The 16,584-nt window shown below is 55.7% G+C and overlaps 3 protein-coding genes and 1 long non-coding RNA gene across 23 annotated transcripts in view, besides 6 other annotated features; 2 read left to right on the forward strand and 2 right to left on the reverse strand.

The window, feature by feature from the left end:
- CAMTA2 (calmodulin binding transcription activator 2) overlaps positions 1-2,712 on the reverse strand; it is a 19,679-nt gene extending 16,967 nt beyond the window's left edge. For 8 of the 11 annotated variants that reach the window (XM_047435670.1, NM_001171168.2, XM_011523749.4 and 5 more), the window contains exons 1-3: positions 1,991-2,498; positions 1,229-1,323; positions 917-1,020 (exon numbers count right to left, since the gene is read on the reverse strand). In XM_047435670.1, the coding sequence (XP_047291626.1) occupies positions 917-1,020; positions 1,229-1,323; positions 1,991-1,995 (204 nt within the window). In that variant the 5' untranslated portion in view covers positions 1,996-2,498. Of the gene's footprint in view, positions 1-916; positions 1,021-1,228; positions 1,324-1,990; positions 2,499-2,629 lie in introns of those variants that run through there. The other 3 variants (NM_015099.4, XM_006721478.5, NM_001171166.2) reach the window with 2 other exon arrangements.
- Positions 2,192-2,731: a silencer, noted in NCBI's record as "silent region_8059". NCBI's record gives its function as "represses an Ori minimal core promoter by ATAC-STARR-seq in GM12878 lymphoblastoid cells {active_cell/tissue: GM12878}" and the evidence as "EXISTENCE:reporter gene assay evidence [ECO:0000049][PMID:35858748]".
- CAMTA2-AS1 (CAMTA2 antisense RNA 1) lies at positions 2,781-4,982 on the forward strand. Its single transcript, NR_187235.1, has 3 exons — positions 2,781-3,262; positions 3,453-3,629; positions 3,724-4,982. It is a non-coding gene; the product is annotated as a CAMTA2 antisense RNA 1 (long non-coding RNA).
- On the reverse strand, positions 3,167-12,559 carry INCA1 (inhibitor of CDK, cyclin A1 interacting protein 1). 9 transcript variants are annotated; one of them, NM_001167986.2, is made up of 9 exons: positions 12,533-12,559; positions 11,878-12,166; positions 10,843-10,967; positions 9,431-9,512; positions 5,189-5,302; positions 4,927-4,966; positions 4,465-4,661; positions 3,816-3,981; positions 3,167-3,591 (listed from the first exon to the last, which is right to left on the reverse strand). In NM_001167986.2, exons 4-9 carry the CDS (start codon positions 9,472-9,474, stop codon positions 3,442-3,444), a joined length of 711 nt encoding a protein of 236 aa, NP_001161458.1. In that variant the 5' UTR covers positions 9,475-9,512; positions 10,843-10,967; positions 11,878-12,166; positions 12,533-12,559; the 3' UTR covers positions 3,167-3,441. The 9 variants fall into 9 exon arrangements, with proteins under 9 accessions (NP_001161458.1, NP_001381719.1, NP_001381717.1 ...); NM_001394790.1 differs by lacking the exon at positions 11,878-12,166 and having other exon boundaries at positions 4,465-4,616; NM_001394788.1 differs by lacking the exon at positions 11,878-12,166.
- Positions 12,300-12,389: a silencer, noted in NCBI's record as "silent region_8060". NCBI's record gives its function as "represses an Ori minimal core promoter by ATAC-STARR-seq in GM12878 lymphoblastoid cells {active_cell/tissue: GM12878}" and the evidence as "EXISTENCE:reporter gene assay evidence [ECO:0000049][PMID:35858748]".
- Positions 12,430-13,299: a silencer, noted in NCBI's record as "silent region_8061". NCBI's record gives its function as "represses an Ori minimal core promoter by ATAC-STARR-seq in GM12878 lymphoblastoid cells {active_cell/tissue: GM12878}" and the evidence as "EXISTENCE:reporter gene assay evidence [ECO:0000049][PMID:35858748]".
- Positions 12,987-16,584, forward strand: part of KIF1C (kinesin family member 1C) — a 30,452-nt gene continuing 26,854 nt past the window's right edge. Inside the window, exons 1-6 of one of the 2 annotated variants that reach the window (XM_005256424.3) lie at positions 12,987-13,193; positions 14,050-14,083; positions 14,887-15,007; positions 15,257-15,389; positions 15,809-15,885; positions 16,259-16,438. In XM_005256424.3, coding sequence (XP_005256481.1) covers positions 15,284-15,389; positions 15,809-15,885; positions 16,259-16,438 — 363 coding nt within the window. In that variant the 5' untranslated portion in view covers positions 12,987-13,193; positions 14,050-14,083; positions 14,887-15,007; positions 15,257-15,283. The remainder of the gene's footprint in view (positions 13,194-14,049; positions 14,084-14,886; positions 15,008-15,256; positions 15,390-15,808; positions 15,886-16,258; positions 16,439-16,584) is intronic. The other variant, NM_006612.6, reaches the window with a different exon arrangement.
- Positions 13,350-13,449: a silencer, noted in NCBI's record as "silent region_8062". NCBI's record gives its function as "represses an Ori minimal core promoter by ATAC-STARR-seq in GM12878 lymphoblastoid cells {active_cell/tissue: GM12878}" and the evidence as "EXISTENCE:reporter gene assay evidence [ECO:0000049][PMID:35858748]".
- Positions 14,692-15,303: an enhancer, noted in NCBI's record as "H3K4me1 hESC enhancer chr17:4902950-4903561 (GRCh37/hg19 assembly coordinates)". NCBI's record gives its function as "activates a minimal SCP1, AML or CMV promoter by ChIP-STARR-seq in naive H9 embryonic stem cells {active_cell/tissue: H9 hESC(naive)}" and the evidence as "EXISTENCE:reporter gene assay evidence [ECO:0000049][PMID:30033119]".
- Positions 15,304-15,914: an enhancer, noted in NCBI's record as "H3K4me1 hESC enhancer chr17:4903562-4904172 (GRCh37/hg19 assembly coordinates)". NCBI's record gives its function as "activates a minimal SCP1, AML or CMV promoter by ChIP-STARR-seq in naive H9 embryonic stem cells {active_cell/tissue: H9 hESC(naive)}" and the evidence as "EXISTENCE:reporter gene assay evidence [ECO:0000049][PMID:30033119]".

Genomic DNA, 16,584 nt, shown 5'->3' on the forward strand with positions numbered 1-16,584 from the left:
CCGAGATCGCGCCACTGCACTCCAGCCTGGGCGACAGAGCGAGACTCCATCTCAAAAAAAAAACAAACAAAAATTAGCCGGGCGTGGAGGCACATGCCTGTAATCCCAGCTACTTGGGAGGCTGAGGCAGGGGAATCACTTGAATCCAGGAGGCGGGGGTTGCAGTGAGCCAAGATCGCGCCATTGTACTCCAGCCTGGGCAACAAGAGCGAGACTCCGTCTCAAAAAAAAAGGCCCTGGAGTAAGTTAGATAAACTATGAGGTAAATCAGTTTCCTCATCAATAACATAGGAGCAATAACAGGGCTTGCTCTATAGAACCGTTAGAGGATTAAATGAGACAAGGCAGGCCAAATGTTTAGCACGGTGCCCAGTATGTAAGGAATACTTTACTGGCAGTAGCTTTTGTTTTTACCCAGGTGGCTATGCCACAGAAAAGAGGGCTCCTTCAAGATCCATGTCTTTTTGTTTTTGTTTTTGAGACGGAGTCTCACTCTGTCACCCAGGCTGGAGTGCAGTGGCGTGATCTCAGCTCACTGCAGCCTCCGCCTCCCTGGCTCAAGTAATTCTCCCGCCTCAGCCTCTCGAGTAGCTGGGATTACAGGCGTACATCACCACGCCTGGCTGCTTTTTGTATTTTTAGTAGAGACGGGGTTCCACCATGTTTGCCAGGCTGGTCTTGAACTCCTGACCTCAGATGATCCACCCGCCTCAGCCTCCCAAAGTGCTGGGATTACAGGCATGAGCCACCATGCCCGGCCAAGATCCATGTTTTTATACCTCTCCTAGGATCCCCAAAGAGCTTAGAATGGTGCTCTGCACTTAGGAGTGTTGACAGACACGGAAAGACCCCCCACTCACCCTCCTCCAGCCTACTAGGTCTTGCTGGGCCCCAACCCCCAGCCTCCCTAGAAAACCTCATTTGTATTCCACCGTAGCCTCTCTGGAGGCAGCAGCGGGCAGCGAGGAAGACACTCCAGCAGCTTCTTGGGGAGAAAGATCTTCAGGTGGTGGCTGTTTTCTAAAGGGAATTAGAAGGGAGGGTTTAGTGTGCTACCCTGGGGCATCCCTGTGATAGTCCAAGGGGAAAGGGCTGAAGGCAATACAGAGCACTGGGGAAAACTGAAACCTCACTAAGGAGAACAGAAAATCCAAGAATTAGAGGGCCACTAAAGCGTGGGGAGAACGAAAGGCTGTGGCCACATTGGGAACCTGGTTTGTGAACTTACCAGCAACCTCGGTGGTGTCCTTGGTATTCATGGTGAGGGCTCCAGGGGGCAAGGTCACCCCCGGCCTGAGGGGCCGGGGGGAGGGGGAGTCTGTGCTGGGAAGGGAGAGAACAAGGTCATGGCAGAAGCCCCCACATTAATCCAGGATGAGAAGTATGAGGTAGGGAGTGGGTATAGAACTGGGTCATAGTATCTGGGAAGGATGAGGAAAGGGAGGGAGGGGCTGACTGTGATGTGACAGTAGAAGAGAGAACAACACACAGTGCCCGGAGCCAATATGAGTGAGCAGACTGGACAGGAAGAGTGAGCAGGAAGAAATGGGTTGGGGTGGGGGAGCGGGGAGAAGACTGGCAGGGCTTGGGCCTCAGAGGCCCTAAACCTTGAGCTTTTGCACAGACTGGGGCTATGGTTGGGTCAGGTCCTGGGGGTTGGGACTCAGGCCATCCGGTCCTTGGAGGATGGTTTGGCAAGAGAGCCTGGATCCTGGGGGCAGGGCAGGAGATTCTACCTCCGGTAGAAGCTAGGCCTTTAGAAGACACGCCCTGAGTTCCTTCTCTGTTTGATTTTTCCAAGGGGAAGGGCAGATCTGATAACTGAACCTAACCTATTCTCTCCTCCAGGTTGGTTAGGACCTGATAGAATCTGGGCCAGACACCCAGATTCCCACCCTCAGGACAACCCACCCTCCGGCTGACAGCCCTCTCTACGTAGCTCCCTCTCCCCAAACGCCTCTGCCTCCCCTGGCCTCCAGGCCTAGCCTACCCCATCTACCGCTCTGGCTCCAGCCTGAGCCCCCCGCCCTCCTCGGGGAACAGATGGGAGCTGGCGGAGGCTCTCAGCACGGGCTCCGCCAGGTGTCCAGGATGGAGATGGGAGGAGGCCCGTCGGGCTCGGCTATGTGCAGTGAAGCTGGGGTTGGGGTAAGGACTCCGCCCCAGGGCGCAGGTGCGCAGTCCTGGCTAGGCAGCCTGCCAGGGTGCGGAGCGGGAGCGGGTCCTTGGGCTGCACTTGGGCGGCGCCGGATCGGACGCTTGGCACTCTGGGCGGCCCCCCGGCGGAGTGGTGGTCCCAGGAGAACCTCCGAGGTGGGAGGGTCCCGCCCGCATAGAGGGATGTTCTGGAGAAGCCGGGAGCAGAGTCCGCGGGCACGCGGTGGGCGAGGGACAGTGCAGGTGCCGGGTGCGGGGGTCTCCGGGACAGTCCCCGGCACGCGCTGGTCCGCCGTGGGGCCCTGCGGTGAGCGGCGCCCCCTGGCGCGGGGGAGGAGGACGGAAGCGGGAGGTGAGGGCGAACCGGGAAGAGGGACGGTGGTCCCTGGCGCGGCGCTCCGCGTCGGGACCTGGAGGAGCTGCGCCCTCTGGCGCGGGGGCGGAGAGGCGGGCGAGAGGCCCTGGCTCTTACCTCCCGGGGTCCCGCGGGTGACGGCGGCAGCGGCCATTCTACCCCACACCGACCCCCCCCAGCGCCGGCTGACAGCGGCGTCTAACGTCACTGCGCACGGGGCGGGGCCTCCCAATTAAGGGGATGAGGGTCAGGAAGGGAACCTGGGGTCAGCACACGTGGAGTTCTGGGTGGGGCGCTGGGCAGAGGGACTCGGCTTCTAGGGCTCTGAGCCAGGCCGAGGGACAGACTGCTGGGAAGTCCCCAAAAGGGCAGCAGCACTGAGGGGCAGGATTCCAGGGTCCTGGAGGCGGAAGCTCGGCCGACTGACTCCCAGTTCGAGAGAACGGGGCGGGGGCAGCCCACCAGTGCTGGAACCCGAGGGGCCGGGCGAGGAACGCTGGACTGGGAGCAGGACCCTTCTCGCCTCGGACAAGACTCCTTGTCTGGGGACCCAGCCCGACTTCATTGTAGCTGGGTCCTCGAGAAAGCGAAAGGAGCCCTCCTTCCCCATTGGCCTCTCCATCGCTGCATCCCAAGAAGAAAGACAACTCGGGCTCCACTTGCTTGCTTTTTAATAACAGAGCAGAGAGAATACAAGGCCAGGAGCGGGGCCTGGAGGAAAACAGGACTTGGGGTGCTCCTGTGAGAGCGGTGGGTTGAGATGGGAGCCCACGGGGGCTGTTAATGCCTAGTTCAGAGGATGGGAAAGGCAGTTGGAGAGACGAAGGAAGGGGAAACGCCTTCATGTCAGCAATGAGGGTGACTCTAGTGACGGAACTAGTCTTGGGTCCCTGGGGCACCACTAGCCTCTCGGCATCGGTGGTTTCTCCTTACTCTTCAGACGCTGCCAACTCCATCCCCCAGGGATTGTGAAGGGGGTTCCTTCTGGCTGTGACAGTGCTGAACGAGGCCAGAGAGTGCAGCTGCCTGGAGGCACAAGCCTCCTCCTGATCCAGGGGGCTCCAGGGAGACCAAAGCAGCTGTCAAGATGAGAGAAATTGAAAAAGAAAATGGAAAAGTAGGTCTTCTTTCCAGATTTCCTAGTACCCAAGCTTAGGTACCTCGAAGTCTCTGGTTCTCACCTACGTTATTTTTGTTTCTCTCAAATCCAGCTCTCCAGCCTGGCTCTCAGCTTCTGCATCTCCATGCAAGACCAGAGACCCACATCACTCCCTCACTCCACCCAGTTCCACTCCAACAATACCTGGGCCCTGCCAGGAGTGAGAAAACGGTCCTCTTCCTGTGGATAGGTTGCTCTCTCCTCTTCCAGATCAGGGTATTCATTGGTGCTGGGGAATCCACAGCCCTCTTCGCCAAGCACCACTGGCTCAGATGCAGCCCCAGAGCTGCCCCACTGGGCCTTCTTCAGTCTGTGGAGACTTTAGGCTGAGGAGAGAAGTGCCTGGAGGCCAGGCTTCCTGTCTCTCCATTCTTCACCTTTCTGTTCTGAAATACTTCCTGCTGGGACTCCAGGGAGTTGTCATTTGACCTTTAACCCTCCACTCCCAATTTTCTGCTCCCCTCAGACTGAAGCATATTGTCTAGGAACCCAGAGGTGACCCCAACCTCCCCACTGTCCTCCAGTTCTATGGTTTGCTTTCCTGTCTTCAGTGATCTAGTTTCCACTCCTTCCAGCTCATGTGGCTCATCCTCCTTACTGCAGTTCCCTCCTTCTTTCCATATTACAGAAATCTGTTTCAATCACACCAAAGCCCACAGCTTCCTTCCAAGCAACCTCCCCTCAAAGCTCCCCTCAAACCTCCCCTCAAAGCTGTCAACCCCTTCCTTAGCTCAAACTGTTCTGCCCCCAAATCCTGCATGACTCCCAGAACCCAGATGTCTCCCTTCCTTACTCGTTGATGATGCTCTGACGCCTTCTTAGGTCCTCCAGGTGGTAAGTGACAGCCCTCACCCGGGCGGGGACTCCCCCAAGGCCCTGCTGCTGCATTCCTTCCAAACATGGCCTCCTCTTCTTTCTTCTCCAAAGCATTTCAGGGGGTGGGAGCTGCTCAGGAGGATACAGACCAAGCTGGGAGCAACCAGTGGCTCTCTGTGCCAGAGAATGGGGAAAAAGAGCTAGAAAGAAGAACTGGCTCTCTCAAGGGAGCTTGGATTGAACTAGGTAGGGAGTCTGGGGTCTTGGGAAGACCCCTGTGATCTCGAAAACATGATGACTGATTCATAGAAAGGAAGGCCTGGTCAGTGCACTGGTTGGGGAATAACAGAGGGAAGCGGTAATAAGGAGAGCTTGGGACAGGACAGCAGTGGGTGCAATTTTAACAGAGAAATGTTAAACGGCAGAGGGTCTGTCTTACCAGCATGGGTGGAATGTGCTGCTCCTCCAGCCAAGTGGGGCTGTGAAGAACAAAAAGGGGGCTATAAGTGCAGAGGGGACATGTCCATCCATATTGCTTCTTTAATAATCTCTCCCGACCTCCTTTCTGTCATTAGGAGCTACAATGTCCACCAGCCAGTGGGAAATTAACCGCAGACTAGGGCCTATTGCTATATGGGTTTATGGTAGTTTAATCCAGTTAAGACCACATCCAGTTAGTTTCCATTTTCTCCTCTACTCACGTGGGCCTTTGATTAAGGTTCTTCCAGAAGACATCTCCATAACGCTGGGGCATGGGTCTGAGGCTCTGGGAAGGCAACCTTGGGGGTGGAGATCGGCTGACCACCCTGGAACACCTGAGGTGAGGACAAGGTAGGCTCGGGTCTGGCTCTTCCCTTACAGCAGTCTACTCATCCCAAGGATTCAGGGGCCATCTTTCCATGGGACTATAAAGCTGCCCAGGTTCCCTCGGGCCATGTCCTCTCTTAACCACTTTAGCTGAAGAAGGTGGTAAGGCCTCTGCTTTGAAAGGAAATTGAAGCTGGGTTGAGGGTGGAGATTGGCTATAGTTTGACCCTCAGATCTCACTGAGTTTAAGCTCTATATCGGGGATGTCCAATCTTTTGGCTTCCTGGGCCACATTGGAAGAAGAAAAATTGTCTTGGGCCACACATAAAGTACACTAACACTGGCCGGGCGTGGTGGCTCATGCCTGTAATCCCAGCACTTTGGGAGGCTGATGTGGGTGGATCACCTGAGGTCTGGAGTCCAAGACCAGCCTGGCCAACATGTTGAAACCCCGTCTCTACTAAAATCACAAAAAATTAGCCAGGCGTGGTGGCGGGCACCTGTAATCCCAGCTACTCGGGAGGCTGAGGCAGGAGAATCACTTGAACCCGGGAGGAGGAGGTTGCAGTGAGTCGAAATCGCGCCATTGCACTCCAGCTTGGGTGACAAGAGAGAAACTCCGTCTCAAAAAAAAAATTGCAAAAAATCTCATAATATTTTATTTTATTTATGTATTTATTGAGACCGTTTCACTCTTGTCACCCAGGCTGGAGTGCAATGGCACGATCTCGGCTCACTGCAACCTCCACCTCCCGGGTTCAAGTGATTCTCCTGCCTCAGCCTCCCGAGTAGCTGGGATTACAGGCACCCACTACCACGCCCGGCCAATTTTGTATTTTTAGTAGAGACGGGGTTTTGCCATGTTAGCCAGGCTGGTCTTGAACTCCTGACCTCAGGTGATCCACCCGCCTCGGCCTCCCAAAGTGCTGGGATTACAGGTGTGAGCCATTGTGCCCGGCCTAATCTCAACGTTTTAAGAAAGTTTATGAATTTGTGTTGGACTGCTTCAAAGCCATCCTAGGCCGCAGGTTGGACAAGCTTGCTTTATACCTCATAGTTAGAGAAGGTAATATTTAGCAAGCAGAGTTGTTAAAGAGGAAGGCCTTGGCTACTCAGGTTATATGACAGATAGGATTCATTTAGGTCAATGCAAGGATCCAGGGGAGAGAACCTCTGTTTACTTCATTTGTCTCCCCATCTCAAAAGGACTAATATCCTTGTAAATAGGAGTGTGCAGAGCTGTTTGAGAACACTGCTCGTCACTTCCAAACCCCACAGGCTGAATGATGATTGCCCTCCTGATCTCTAAGAAATGGAGTATGTTAGGGCTTAGGCCTGGGGCCCTTTATCTTCTCTGTCTTCATCTCTTCTTAGGTGATCTCACCCAGTACCATGCTGTCAATAAGCTGATGACTCCCAAATCTATATATCCAGCCCTGGTTCCTCTCTGGGCTCCACTCAACATCTCCTCCCCAACCTTCCTCCTCTCAATGAAAAGCACTCAAATGCCCAGTTGCTAAGACCAAAAACATGGTATGTCTCACTTTCCCTCACCTCCCACATCTAATCCATCAGCAGTTCCTGTCAGTTTTACATCTAAAATACTGTGTACCTGAATTTGACCACTCCTCATCATTCCCACTCCTACCACCATATATTTCAGGTCATCTTCCCCTTCCTGGACTGTTGCAATGGTCTCTTCCCCCCGTCTCTGCTTCCATTCCCATCCCCCAACAATATATTCTGCACAGAACTGTGAGAGATGATCATACGAAATAATATAAGGTTTGAGATGTACTTCAAAAGAATTTGAGAAATAGGGGGCTAGATGGGTATAGAGATGAAAAGATTATCCATACAATGATAATTATTGAAGCTGACTGAAAAGGGTACATGGGGTTCATGATACTATTTTCTCTACTGTGTTTGTTTGAAATTTTCCATAATAAAAAAAGTTGAAGGAAAAAAGGCTGGTCATGTCACTCTCTGCCTTAAAACTTTTCCACTGAATAAAATCCAAACCGTTTTTTTTCTTCTTCTTTTTTGAGACAGTCTCACTCTGTCACCCAGGCTGGAGTGCAGTGACCCAATTATAGCTCACTGCAGCCTCAAATTCCTGGGCTCAAGCAATCCTCCTGCCTCAGCCTCCTGAGTGCTGGGACTACAGGCGTGTGCCACCATGCCTGGCTAATTCTTTTAAATGTTTATCAGAGATGAGGTCTCACTATGTTGCCCAGGTTGGTCTCCAATTCCTGAGCTCAAGCAATCCTCCCACCTTGGCCTCCCAAAGTGCTGTAATTACAGGTGTGAGCCACCGCACCCGGCCTATACTTGTTTTATTTATTTTTTCTTTCTTCTTCCTCTCCTCCCCTCTCCTCCCTTCCCCTCCCCTCCCCTCTTTTCCTTTTCTTTCTTCCATTCTCTTTCTTTCTCTCCTTCTTTCCCTCCCTCCCTCCCTTCTTTCTTTTTAGAGACAGGGACTTGCTTTGTTGCCCAGGCTGGAGTGCAGTGCTGTAATCATAGCTCACTGCAGACTCAAACTCTTGGGCTCAAGCAATCCTCCCACCTTGGCCTCCCAAAGTCCTGGGGTTATAAGCATGAGCCACCACACTTAGCATAGTGTTTTGTTTTTGTTTTTTGAGATGGTGTTTCACTCTTGTCGCCCAGGCTGGAGTGCAATGGCACAGTCTCGGCTCACTGCACCCTCTGCCTCCCATGTTCAAGTGATTCTCCTGCCTCAGCCTCCTGAGTAGCAGGGATTATAGGCACCCGCCACCACACTCGGCTAATTTTTGTATTTTTAGTAGAGACGAGGTTTCACCATGTTGGCCAGGCTGGTCTTGAACCCCTGACCTAAGGTAATCCGCCCGCCTTGGCCTCCCAAAGTGCTCGGATTACAGGTGTGAGCCACCACGCCTGACCTTGTTTTTTTGTTTTTTGAGACGGAGTTTCACTCTTGTTGCCCGGGCTGGAGTGCAATGGCTCGGTCTCAGCTCACCACAACCTCTGCCTCCTGGGTTCAAGCGATTCTCCTGCCTCAGCCTCCCGAGTAGCTGGGATTACAGGCATGCGCCACCACACTTGGCTAATTTTGTATTTTTAGTAGAGATGGGGTTTCTCCATGTTGGTCAGGCTGGTCTCAAACTCCCAACCTCAGGTGATCTGCCCACCTCAGCCTTCCAAAGTGCTGAGATTATGGCATGAGCCATTGGGCCCGGCCTTTTTTTTTGAGACGGAGTCTCGCTTTGTCACTCAGGCTGGAGTGCAGTGGTGTGATCTCGGCTCATTGCAAGGTCCGCCTCCTGGGTTCACGCCATTCTCCTGCCTCAGCCTCCCGAGTAGCTGGGACTACAGGCGCCCGCCACCACACCCGGCTAATTTTTTTGTATTTTTAGTAGACACGAGTTTCACTTTGTTAGCCAGGATGGTCTTGATCTCCTGACCTCGTGATCCACCCACCTCGGCCTCCCAAAGTGCTGGGATTACAGGTGTGAGCCACCGTGCCTGGCCTTTTTTTTTTTTTTTTTTTTTTGAGATGGAGTCTTGTTCTGTCGCCCAGGCTGGAGTGCAGTGGCACAATCTTGGCTCACTGCAACCCCTGCCTCCTGGGTTCAAGCAATTCTCATGCCTCAGCCTCCCAAGTAGCTGGGATTACAGGCGAGCACCACCATGCCTGGCTAATTTTTGTATTTCTAGTAGAGATGGGGTTTTGTCATGTTGGCCAGGCTGGTCTCGAACTCCTGATCTCAGGTGATCCGCCTGCCTCGGCCTCCCAAAGTGCTGGGATTACAGGAGTGAGCCACCACACCTGGCCCACTGTTTTATGTTTTAAATAGTACCCATCATTAGCTGAAATTGTATTTGTTTGCACATTCTGTGTTCCCCTCTCTAGAATGTAAGCTCTACAAGAGCAGGACCCCTATCCTGCTAGTTGCTGAATCCCCAGTGCCTAATACAGTCCCTGGAACATTGTAGTGTTCAAACTATTTGTTGAATAAATTAATGAATCATCAATCCCCTGAGACCAGGCATTGCATTTCCCGTTCTTTATTTCCTAATCCTCTTAGGGAAGGACCCAGGCATGCAATATCCCCTCCATCCCATCCCCATGCTCCCCACCCAGTGGGAGGACTCACTTGGCAAAGGGGATGAGGTTGACTCCATCATCCTGCACCTGCATGACTGGACGGGGCTGGGTAGTTAGTCTCCTTTTTGGTGCTGGGAGGATAATGGAAAAGAAGTCATTCATTCGGGCTGGATGTGGTGGCTCACGCCTGTAATCCCAGTACTTTTGGAGGCCAAGGCGGGCGGATCATGAGGTCAGGAGTTCAAGACCAGCCTGGCCAATATAGTGAAACCCCATCTCTGCTAAAAATACAAACATTAGTCGGGTGTGGTGGCGCGCGCCTATAGTCCCAGCTACCCAGAAAGCTGAGGCAGAAGAATCGCTTGAACCTGGGAGGCGGAGGTTGCAGTGAGCCGAGATCGCGCCACTGCACTCCAGCCTGGGGGACAGAGCAAGACTCTGTCTCAAAAAAAAAAAAAAAAAAAAAAAAGGCATTCATTCATATAATGTCTGTAGGGATGAGGCCAGTAGCAGATCTAGAGAATGGAAAAAGAATGTATGGATGCTGAAAAAAGAGAGAGCTTAAAAGGTATTTGTAGCGGCTGGGCGCAGTGGCTTATGCCTGTAATCCCAGCCCTTTGGGAGGCCGAGGCAGGCAGATCACCTGAGGTTGGGAGTTCGAGACCAGTCTGACCAACATGGAGAAACCCCGTCTCTACTAAAAATACAAAATTAGCTGGGCATGGTGGCGCATGCCTGTAATCCCAGCTACTCCGGAGGCTGAGGCAGAAGAATCACTTGAACCAGGGAGTAGGAAGTTGCAGTGAGCTGAAATTGCACCACTGCACTCCAGACTGGCAACAGAGCAAGACTCTGTCTCAAAAAAAAAAAAAAGGTATTTGTAGTGCTGGACTGTTAATTGAACATTTAGGTTGAAGATAGTGAGCACAGGAAAAGTGGATGTGGTAAAAAGATAAAGGAGAAAGCAAATCTTCTGAAGCTAAATGTGCAGAATAAGTGAAATTTACAGATGGCAGTTAAGCGACAACTGGCAATATGGGACAATGAAATTGAAAAATGATGACAGTGGAGACTGGGTGGGGTGGAGGCATTTGGGGGTAAGAGAAGTGACAGAATTGAGGGTTCTCAATGAATCAACTATGAGTGGTTAGTGAAAGTTAATTGTGTGGGCCGGGTGCAGTGGCTCACACCTGTAATCCCAGCACTTTGCGGGGCTGGGGCAAGAGAATTGCCTGAGCTCAGGAGTTGGAGACCAGCCTGGGCAATACAGAGAGACGTCATCTCTATTTAAAAAAAAAAAGTTGGCTGGGTGTGGTGGCTCACGCCTGTAATCCCAGCACTTTGGGAGGCTGAGGCGGGTGGATCACCTGAGGTCGGGAGTTCGAGACCAGTCTGACCAACATGGAGAAACCCTGTCTCTACTAAAAAATACAAAAATTAGCCGGGCATGGTGGCACATGCCTGTAATCCCAGCTACTCAGGAGGCTGAGGCAGGAGAATTGCTTGAACCAGGGAGGCAGAGGTTGCGGTGAGTTGAGATCGCGCCATTGCACTCCAGTCTGTGCAACAAGAGTGAAACTCTGTCTCTAACAAAATAAAAAAAGAAATTAAAAAAAGTTAAGTGTGGACATAATGGTCAACTGGTGACAGGGAAGGAGGGGGCAGTTGGGAATGCCTGTGGATAGGGAGGTCAGTTGCATATAGGGACAGCCAAAGATGACCTGAAGGCCAGTTGGGGTGGGGAGAAAGGGCAGTTAAGGCTGGGCACACTGGCTCACGCCTGTAATCCCAGCAATTTGGGAGGCGGAAGTGGGTGGATTGCTCGAGCCCAGGAGTTTGAGACCAGCCTGGGCAACATGGCGAAACCCCCTCTTTACCAAAATACGAAAAAGTTTAGCCAGGTGTGGTGGTGTGCGCTTGTACCCGGAAGGCTGAGGTGGGAGTGTCATCTGAGCCCGGGAGGTCAAGGCTGCAGTGAGGTAAGATCGCACCACTGCACTGCACTCCAGCCTAGGCGTCAGAGTGAGACCCTGTTTCTAAGAAGAAAAAAAAAAAAGCCAGGCGCGGTGGCTCAAGACTGTAATCCCAGCACTTTGGGAGGCTGAGGTGGGCGGATCACTTGAGGTCAGGAGTTCGAGACCAGCCTGGCCAACACAGCGAAACCCAGTCTCTACTAAAAATACAAAAATTAGCCGGGTGTGGTGGCAGGCATCTGTAATCCCAGCTATTCGGGAGGCTGAGGCAGGAGAATCGCTTGAACCCAGGAGGCGGAGGTTGCCGTGAGCCGAGGTCAGCCTGGGCAACAGAGCAAGACTCCGTCTCAAAAAAAAAAAAAAAAAAAAAAAAAGAATACTAGATAAGTTAGGAGAGAGTGCACATAGGCTCCCGAAGGACAGAAGCAGCCAGCTGGAACTGTAGAGGTGAACTAGTATTTATCCAAGGGAACTAGGGATGGGCTGGGAAAGCAGGTGAGGTCAAAAGCGGAGAGAAGTATACCGTGCGGAAGCGGCAGATGGGGCTAGTTGGAGTTGGGCTGAAAGGGCCTAAAGTGGGGTCTAAAGGGGATGTCCTGACTCGGAGGGGGGTCAGCAGAACGCGAGGGAGCAGCGGGAGCTGCGGGGCATTCGGGCCTCAGATAGTTGGGTCCAAGCGGGTGACCTAGATCCAAGGGCAGGATGGAGCTGAAGGAAGCCAGGAAGGATCCTCCACAGTTGACTTCGGGGTAGCCACGGCCTGCGCCTGCGAGGGTGGATGAGGACCCGAGGGTCCGGCTGGGGCTGAGGGGCTGCCTGGAGCCCCGCTGGAGGGAAGCGCCGGGCCGGAGGGCGCGGCCTGCGCCTGAAAGGGCGACGGGGACCCTCGACAGGTGGACCGGGCGTGGCCGGACCTTCCGGGCAGCCCCGCCCGAGGGCACGACTGGGGGCTGCTTCCCTCGAGAGGGGCCCTGAGGTGGTGGGCCCAGGCTGAAGGGCAGGCTGGGGCCTGAGGGACGCCCCGGGTCTGAGAGGGCAGCTCCGGCCTTAGGCGGCACCCGGGCCTGAAGGGGTTGTTTGGGCCTCAGGCGGCGTCCAGGGCGGCCGAACTTGAGGGCCAGGCGGGGACAGAGCGCCCGAGTAGCCGCGCCACGGCCGGCCGCATTTGGCCCCAGCACCTGAAGCAGCTGCGCGGCGAATTCTAGAACTCGGCGGGGCGGGGAGGAGAGAGACGGCGATTCGAGCCGCGGGAGGAGCCGGCGGGCGGTGCTCGTCTGAGGGCGGGGCCTGAGCGGAGCCACCTTCTGGGCGGGCCTCGGCAGGAGGCTCCGCCCCCTGGACGCGCCTCCAACGGCGGCGACGGGAACTGGGCCGGGGCCTGGGTGCCCCCGCGGGTCAGCCCCCGACGTTTCCCTGTTCTTCAGGCGTCTGCAACCCTCCTGGGTTGCGGCGTCTGCTCGCCCTTCTGCGTCCGCAGCTCGGTCCCCACGTTCCCGCTCGCTGGGCCCCACAGGCCAGGAGCGTTGCCCCTTTAACAAGAGTAGCCCGGGTCGCTCCCGGCTCCTTCCCGGGACCGCGCGTACCCGCCCCTCCGCGCGCGCTCGCGCGTCCCCCGCCCCTCGCTCCCGCCCCAGCTCGCGCTGCCCGGGCGGGCGCCGGCCGCTGGCGCCGCTACTGCTGCCGCCCCCGGGGCGCGAGTCCGCCGCCCGCCGCCCGGGCACCCGGCGAGGGGCGGGGGCAGCTCCGAACCGGCCCCAGATCCTTCCCGCTTCCGCCTCACGCTTCCCGGAAAGCTTGTCCCTCTCCGCCGAGCTGCTCCGGGAGCCCCGCCGCGCCGAGGTGAGGGCTGGGGAAGGGGGAGGGAAGGGACGCCCGCGGAGGAATGTGCCGGGTTGGGGGGCGGGGAGCCGGGGTCCGGCGGCGCGATCTAGGCTCAAGAGTCGGGATCATGTGCTGTTTGTTCCGCGGAGGCGCAGAGAGGTGCCAGGCCCGGGCGGCCGCCGGCTGGCTGGACAGGAGGACGGGTCCGCATGGCCGCCCTGAGAGGCCGGGCGGGGACCTGTGTGAGAACCGCCGGGTGGGCAAGGTGCAGGTGGCCCAAGACCCCCTTTCGGGCCGGTCGGCCCCACCCCAGCCGCCCAGTATCCTCCTTGTACCCCACGGCTCCTTCACAGCTGCACCGGCCGACCCCTGTCCCTACCTCTATTCCCTTACCCCGCTGGCCCCCAGCCGTGCCACCCCATCCCTGTCCCATTAGCTGCAGCAACGGCGTCACCATCGCTTGTCCCCACCAGTGTCCTTCCCTCCCCTGGTCAGGGTCTAGGGGGTCAGGGCTGTTCTTCCTGAGCCAGCTTCTGTGATTCCAGCTACTCCCTTCCTGTCCTGGGACAGACCAGCCCCTCACCCTCCCATGCTCTGCCCAGGAAGACTGGTGAGGGGAGGCCCAGCGTGACAGGAGTTTGGGGTCCACTGGGGCCACAGGAGGGGGCTCCGCATCCCTTATCCTTCGTGGTCCTCCTCCCTGTTGTCCGTGGGCGTGGGCTGCTCAGCCTCTCCTCCCAGGGTGTGGGCACCCGATCACCCACATTCCTGGGCTCCAGCCTGGCACCTTCCCCAGGGCAGTGGACGCCATAGCACTAGCCCCAGGTTGGGGCTGGCACCAGCCAGCCGGCTTCCTTTTCTTTCTCCCTTTTAGGGAGGCCCCAGGGACCCTCTACCCTCAAACACAGGTATTTCTGGGCGCCCCAAGGGTGGAGCCCTGAGGGTTGGTCTGATGGCTACAGGATGACCCCACCCTCCCCTGCTCATTGTCCCGGATCCTGAGGAGGAAGTGCTGGGGGCTGGGCAAGGGGCTTAGAGCCCACACAGCTGGCCCTGTGGATCCCAGTCCTGGGCCCTACCTACAGTCCTTGGACTTTGCCCATCTGCACTACTGGCCTGGTGCATGGAGGTTGTGGGCCTCAGGTGGAAACTAGATTCTCCCTTGCCGACACTGTGGGGGAATTTGAGGACAGGTTTTGCATTTGCAGTTTCCTCTCTGGTCTCTCTTCTGGGCTCCCAGTTTGTGCTTTGGCGCCGGAGTTCCCCACCCTGTCTCTTTAACACCGTGTGTTTGCTGTGCTGTGTCTCTTCCTCCTTTCCTCTCCCATTCTTTCCTTCATAGCATGACCTCAGGCTTGCCTTTTGTCTTATTTCTCTAATTTTCTTGGTGTCTGTGACTCTCTGCCCCTCCTCTCTCTCTTCCCACCCCCCTCACGTCTCTGCCCATGTGCCCCTCTCTCTGAATTGCCCTCTGTCCAGCCTCTTTCTCTCTCTGTCCTCTATCTGAACGTTCAGTACATTTGCGAGTGACAAGGAATAAAAATATCACCGTCCCTGCCCTTGGATTCACATTGCATTCAGCCACTCTAGAGGGGCAGCTGTCCGTACTTTTCCTGCTATTCCCCCCGTAACCTTGGCCCTCCAACCTGGGAACCCCAGACGGGTCTCTGGAACCACAGGTGCCTTCTAACAACTCTTCCCCCGCAATCAGGGTATCTCCCAGAGCCCCAGCTGGTGTGGCCAGGCCCCAGGAGTAGGATGGGGCTCCCCCTACGAGGGCCGGTGGCAGCCAGAACTGATACAGCCCCCCTGGTCTGGGGCCAGGACGCCAGGTAACTGGGGGAGACCGCCCAGGTTCCTGCAAGCTGGAATATGGCTGGGGAGAGAGGCAGAAATACCTTTGGGAGTCTCTCAAGACAGTGACATTTGGGAGGAAAGCCAAGGGAATAAGAGCTGGGTCCTTGAGAGGCTGGGTGGCTCTGGGGGAGATGTGAAGAGACTGGTTCCGGGAAGAAGCTGGGAGGCAATGTCTGGGTCCCTGCAGTGGTTCTGACCCCACCACTCCTTTCTCTGTCCTCCAGCTGAGGAGGGCAGGAGTGTCTGGAGCTATGGCTGGTGCCTCGGTGAAAGTGGCAGTGAGGGTTCGGCCCTTTAACGCCCGTGAGACCAGCCAGGATGCCAAGTGTGTGGTCAGCATGCAGGGCAACACCACCTGTGAGTGAGTCCCCGGGGCCTGGCTGGGCACAGGCAGGGAAGGCCGGGCCCACCACACAGGCCAGTCCCGCTGGGCCAAACTAAGAGGAGGGTAATGCTGGGCACAGAGCAGGTGCTAGTCGTAAGGGCGGGGGCTGGGGCAGGCTGGCCTTTCCCGTGTTCCCAGTCCCTGGGAGGGGGAATGTTGGCCTGGAGCCCTCCATTGCCCAATCCAGGGAGGCAGCTCAGTGGGGGCGGGTCCTAGGAAGCCAAAATTAGCTTTGGTGGCTGGAGGGGGTGGGGAATGTTAAAGGGGAGAGAAGAGTCAGGACAGTGGTGAGGAGTGGGATGCTTGGATTCCAGGGGCTGGTTGGGGTATGGGCAGGGACTGGGAATACCTGACCTTGACTTTCCTTCCTTTACCCTCTCCTGCCCCTCAGCCATCATCAATCCTAAACAGAGCAAGGATGCCCCCAAAAGCTTCACCTTTGACTACTCCTACTGGTCACACACTTCGGTGGGTTGTTGGGCTGGGGGAAGAGCAAGGCAGTGAGAGACAGAGGATTTAGGTCCTGGGGAGGGGACATGTTAAGAAATAGGACCCCCAGGGGATTAGTCAGGGTGAATTGGGAGGATGATCCTGGGTGGGGGTGGTAGGACCCTTAGGCTGTGATTGAGGCCTCGACAGGAAGGCGGAATCCCTTGGGGTAATTAGGACTAGCAGGGGCTGGATAGGATCCTTGGGGTGGTAAGGACAATGATGAGGGTGGGAGGGCACACAGGACATTTGGGGAATCGTCAGTGATGGAAGCAAGACTCTTGGGACAGAGACACAAAGGATAAAGACATCCAGGGTTACTCTGTTTTTCTCTGCCCCCACTTTCTCCTAGACGGAGGACCCCCAGTTTGCATCTCAGCAGCAAGTGTATCGGGACATTGGAGAAGAGATGCTGCTCCACGCCTTTGAAGGCTACAACGTGTGCATCTTTGCCTATGGGCAGACCGGGGCTGGGAAATCCTATACCATGATGGGGCGACAGGAGCCAGGGCAGCAGGGCATCGTGCCCCAGGTACGCCTAGGACCTGGTGGGGCAGCCAGGGCAGGAGCATCTTTAGCTGCCCTCTGAGGAAGGAAGGACTAGGGTCGGAGGATTATGGAACAGAGACCTGGCTCTGAGGCCATTGGTGATGGGAGATAGAGGTTGACTGCAAGCTG

This window comes from Homo sapiens, chromosome 17, assembly GCF_000001405.40.
Source record: "Homo sapiens chromosome 17, GRCh38.p14 Primary Assembly".
In the NCBI taxonomy this organism is placed as follows: Eukaryota; Metazoa; Chordata; class Mammalia; order Primates; family Hominidae; genus Homo; species Homo sapiens.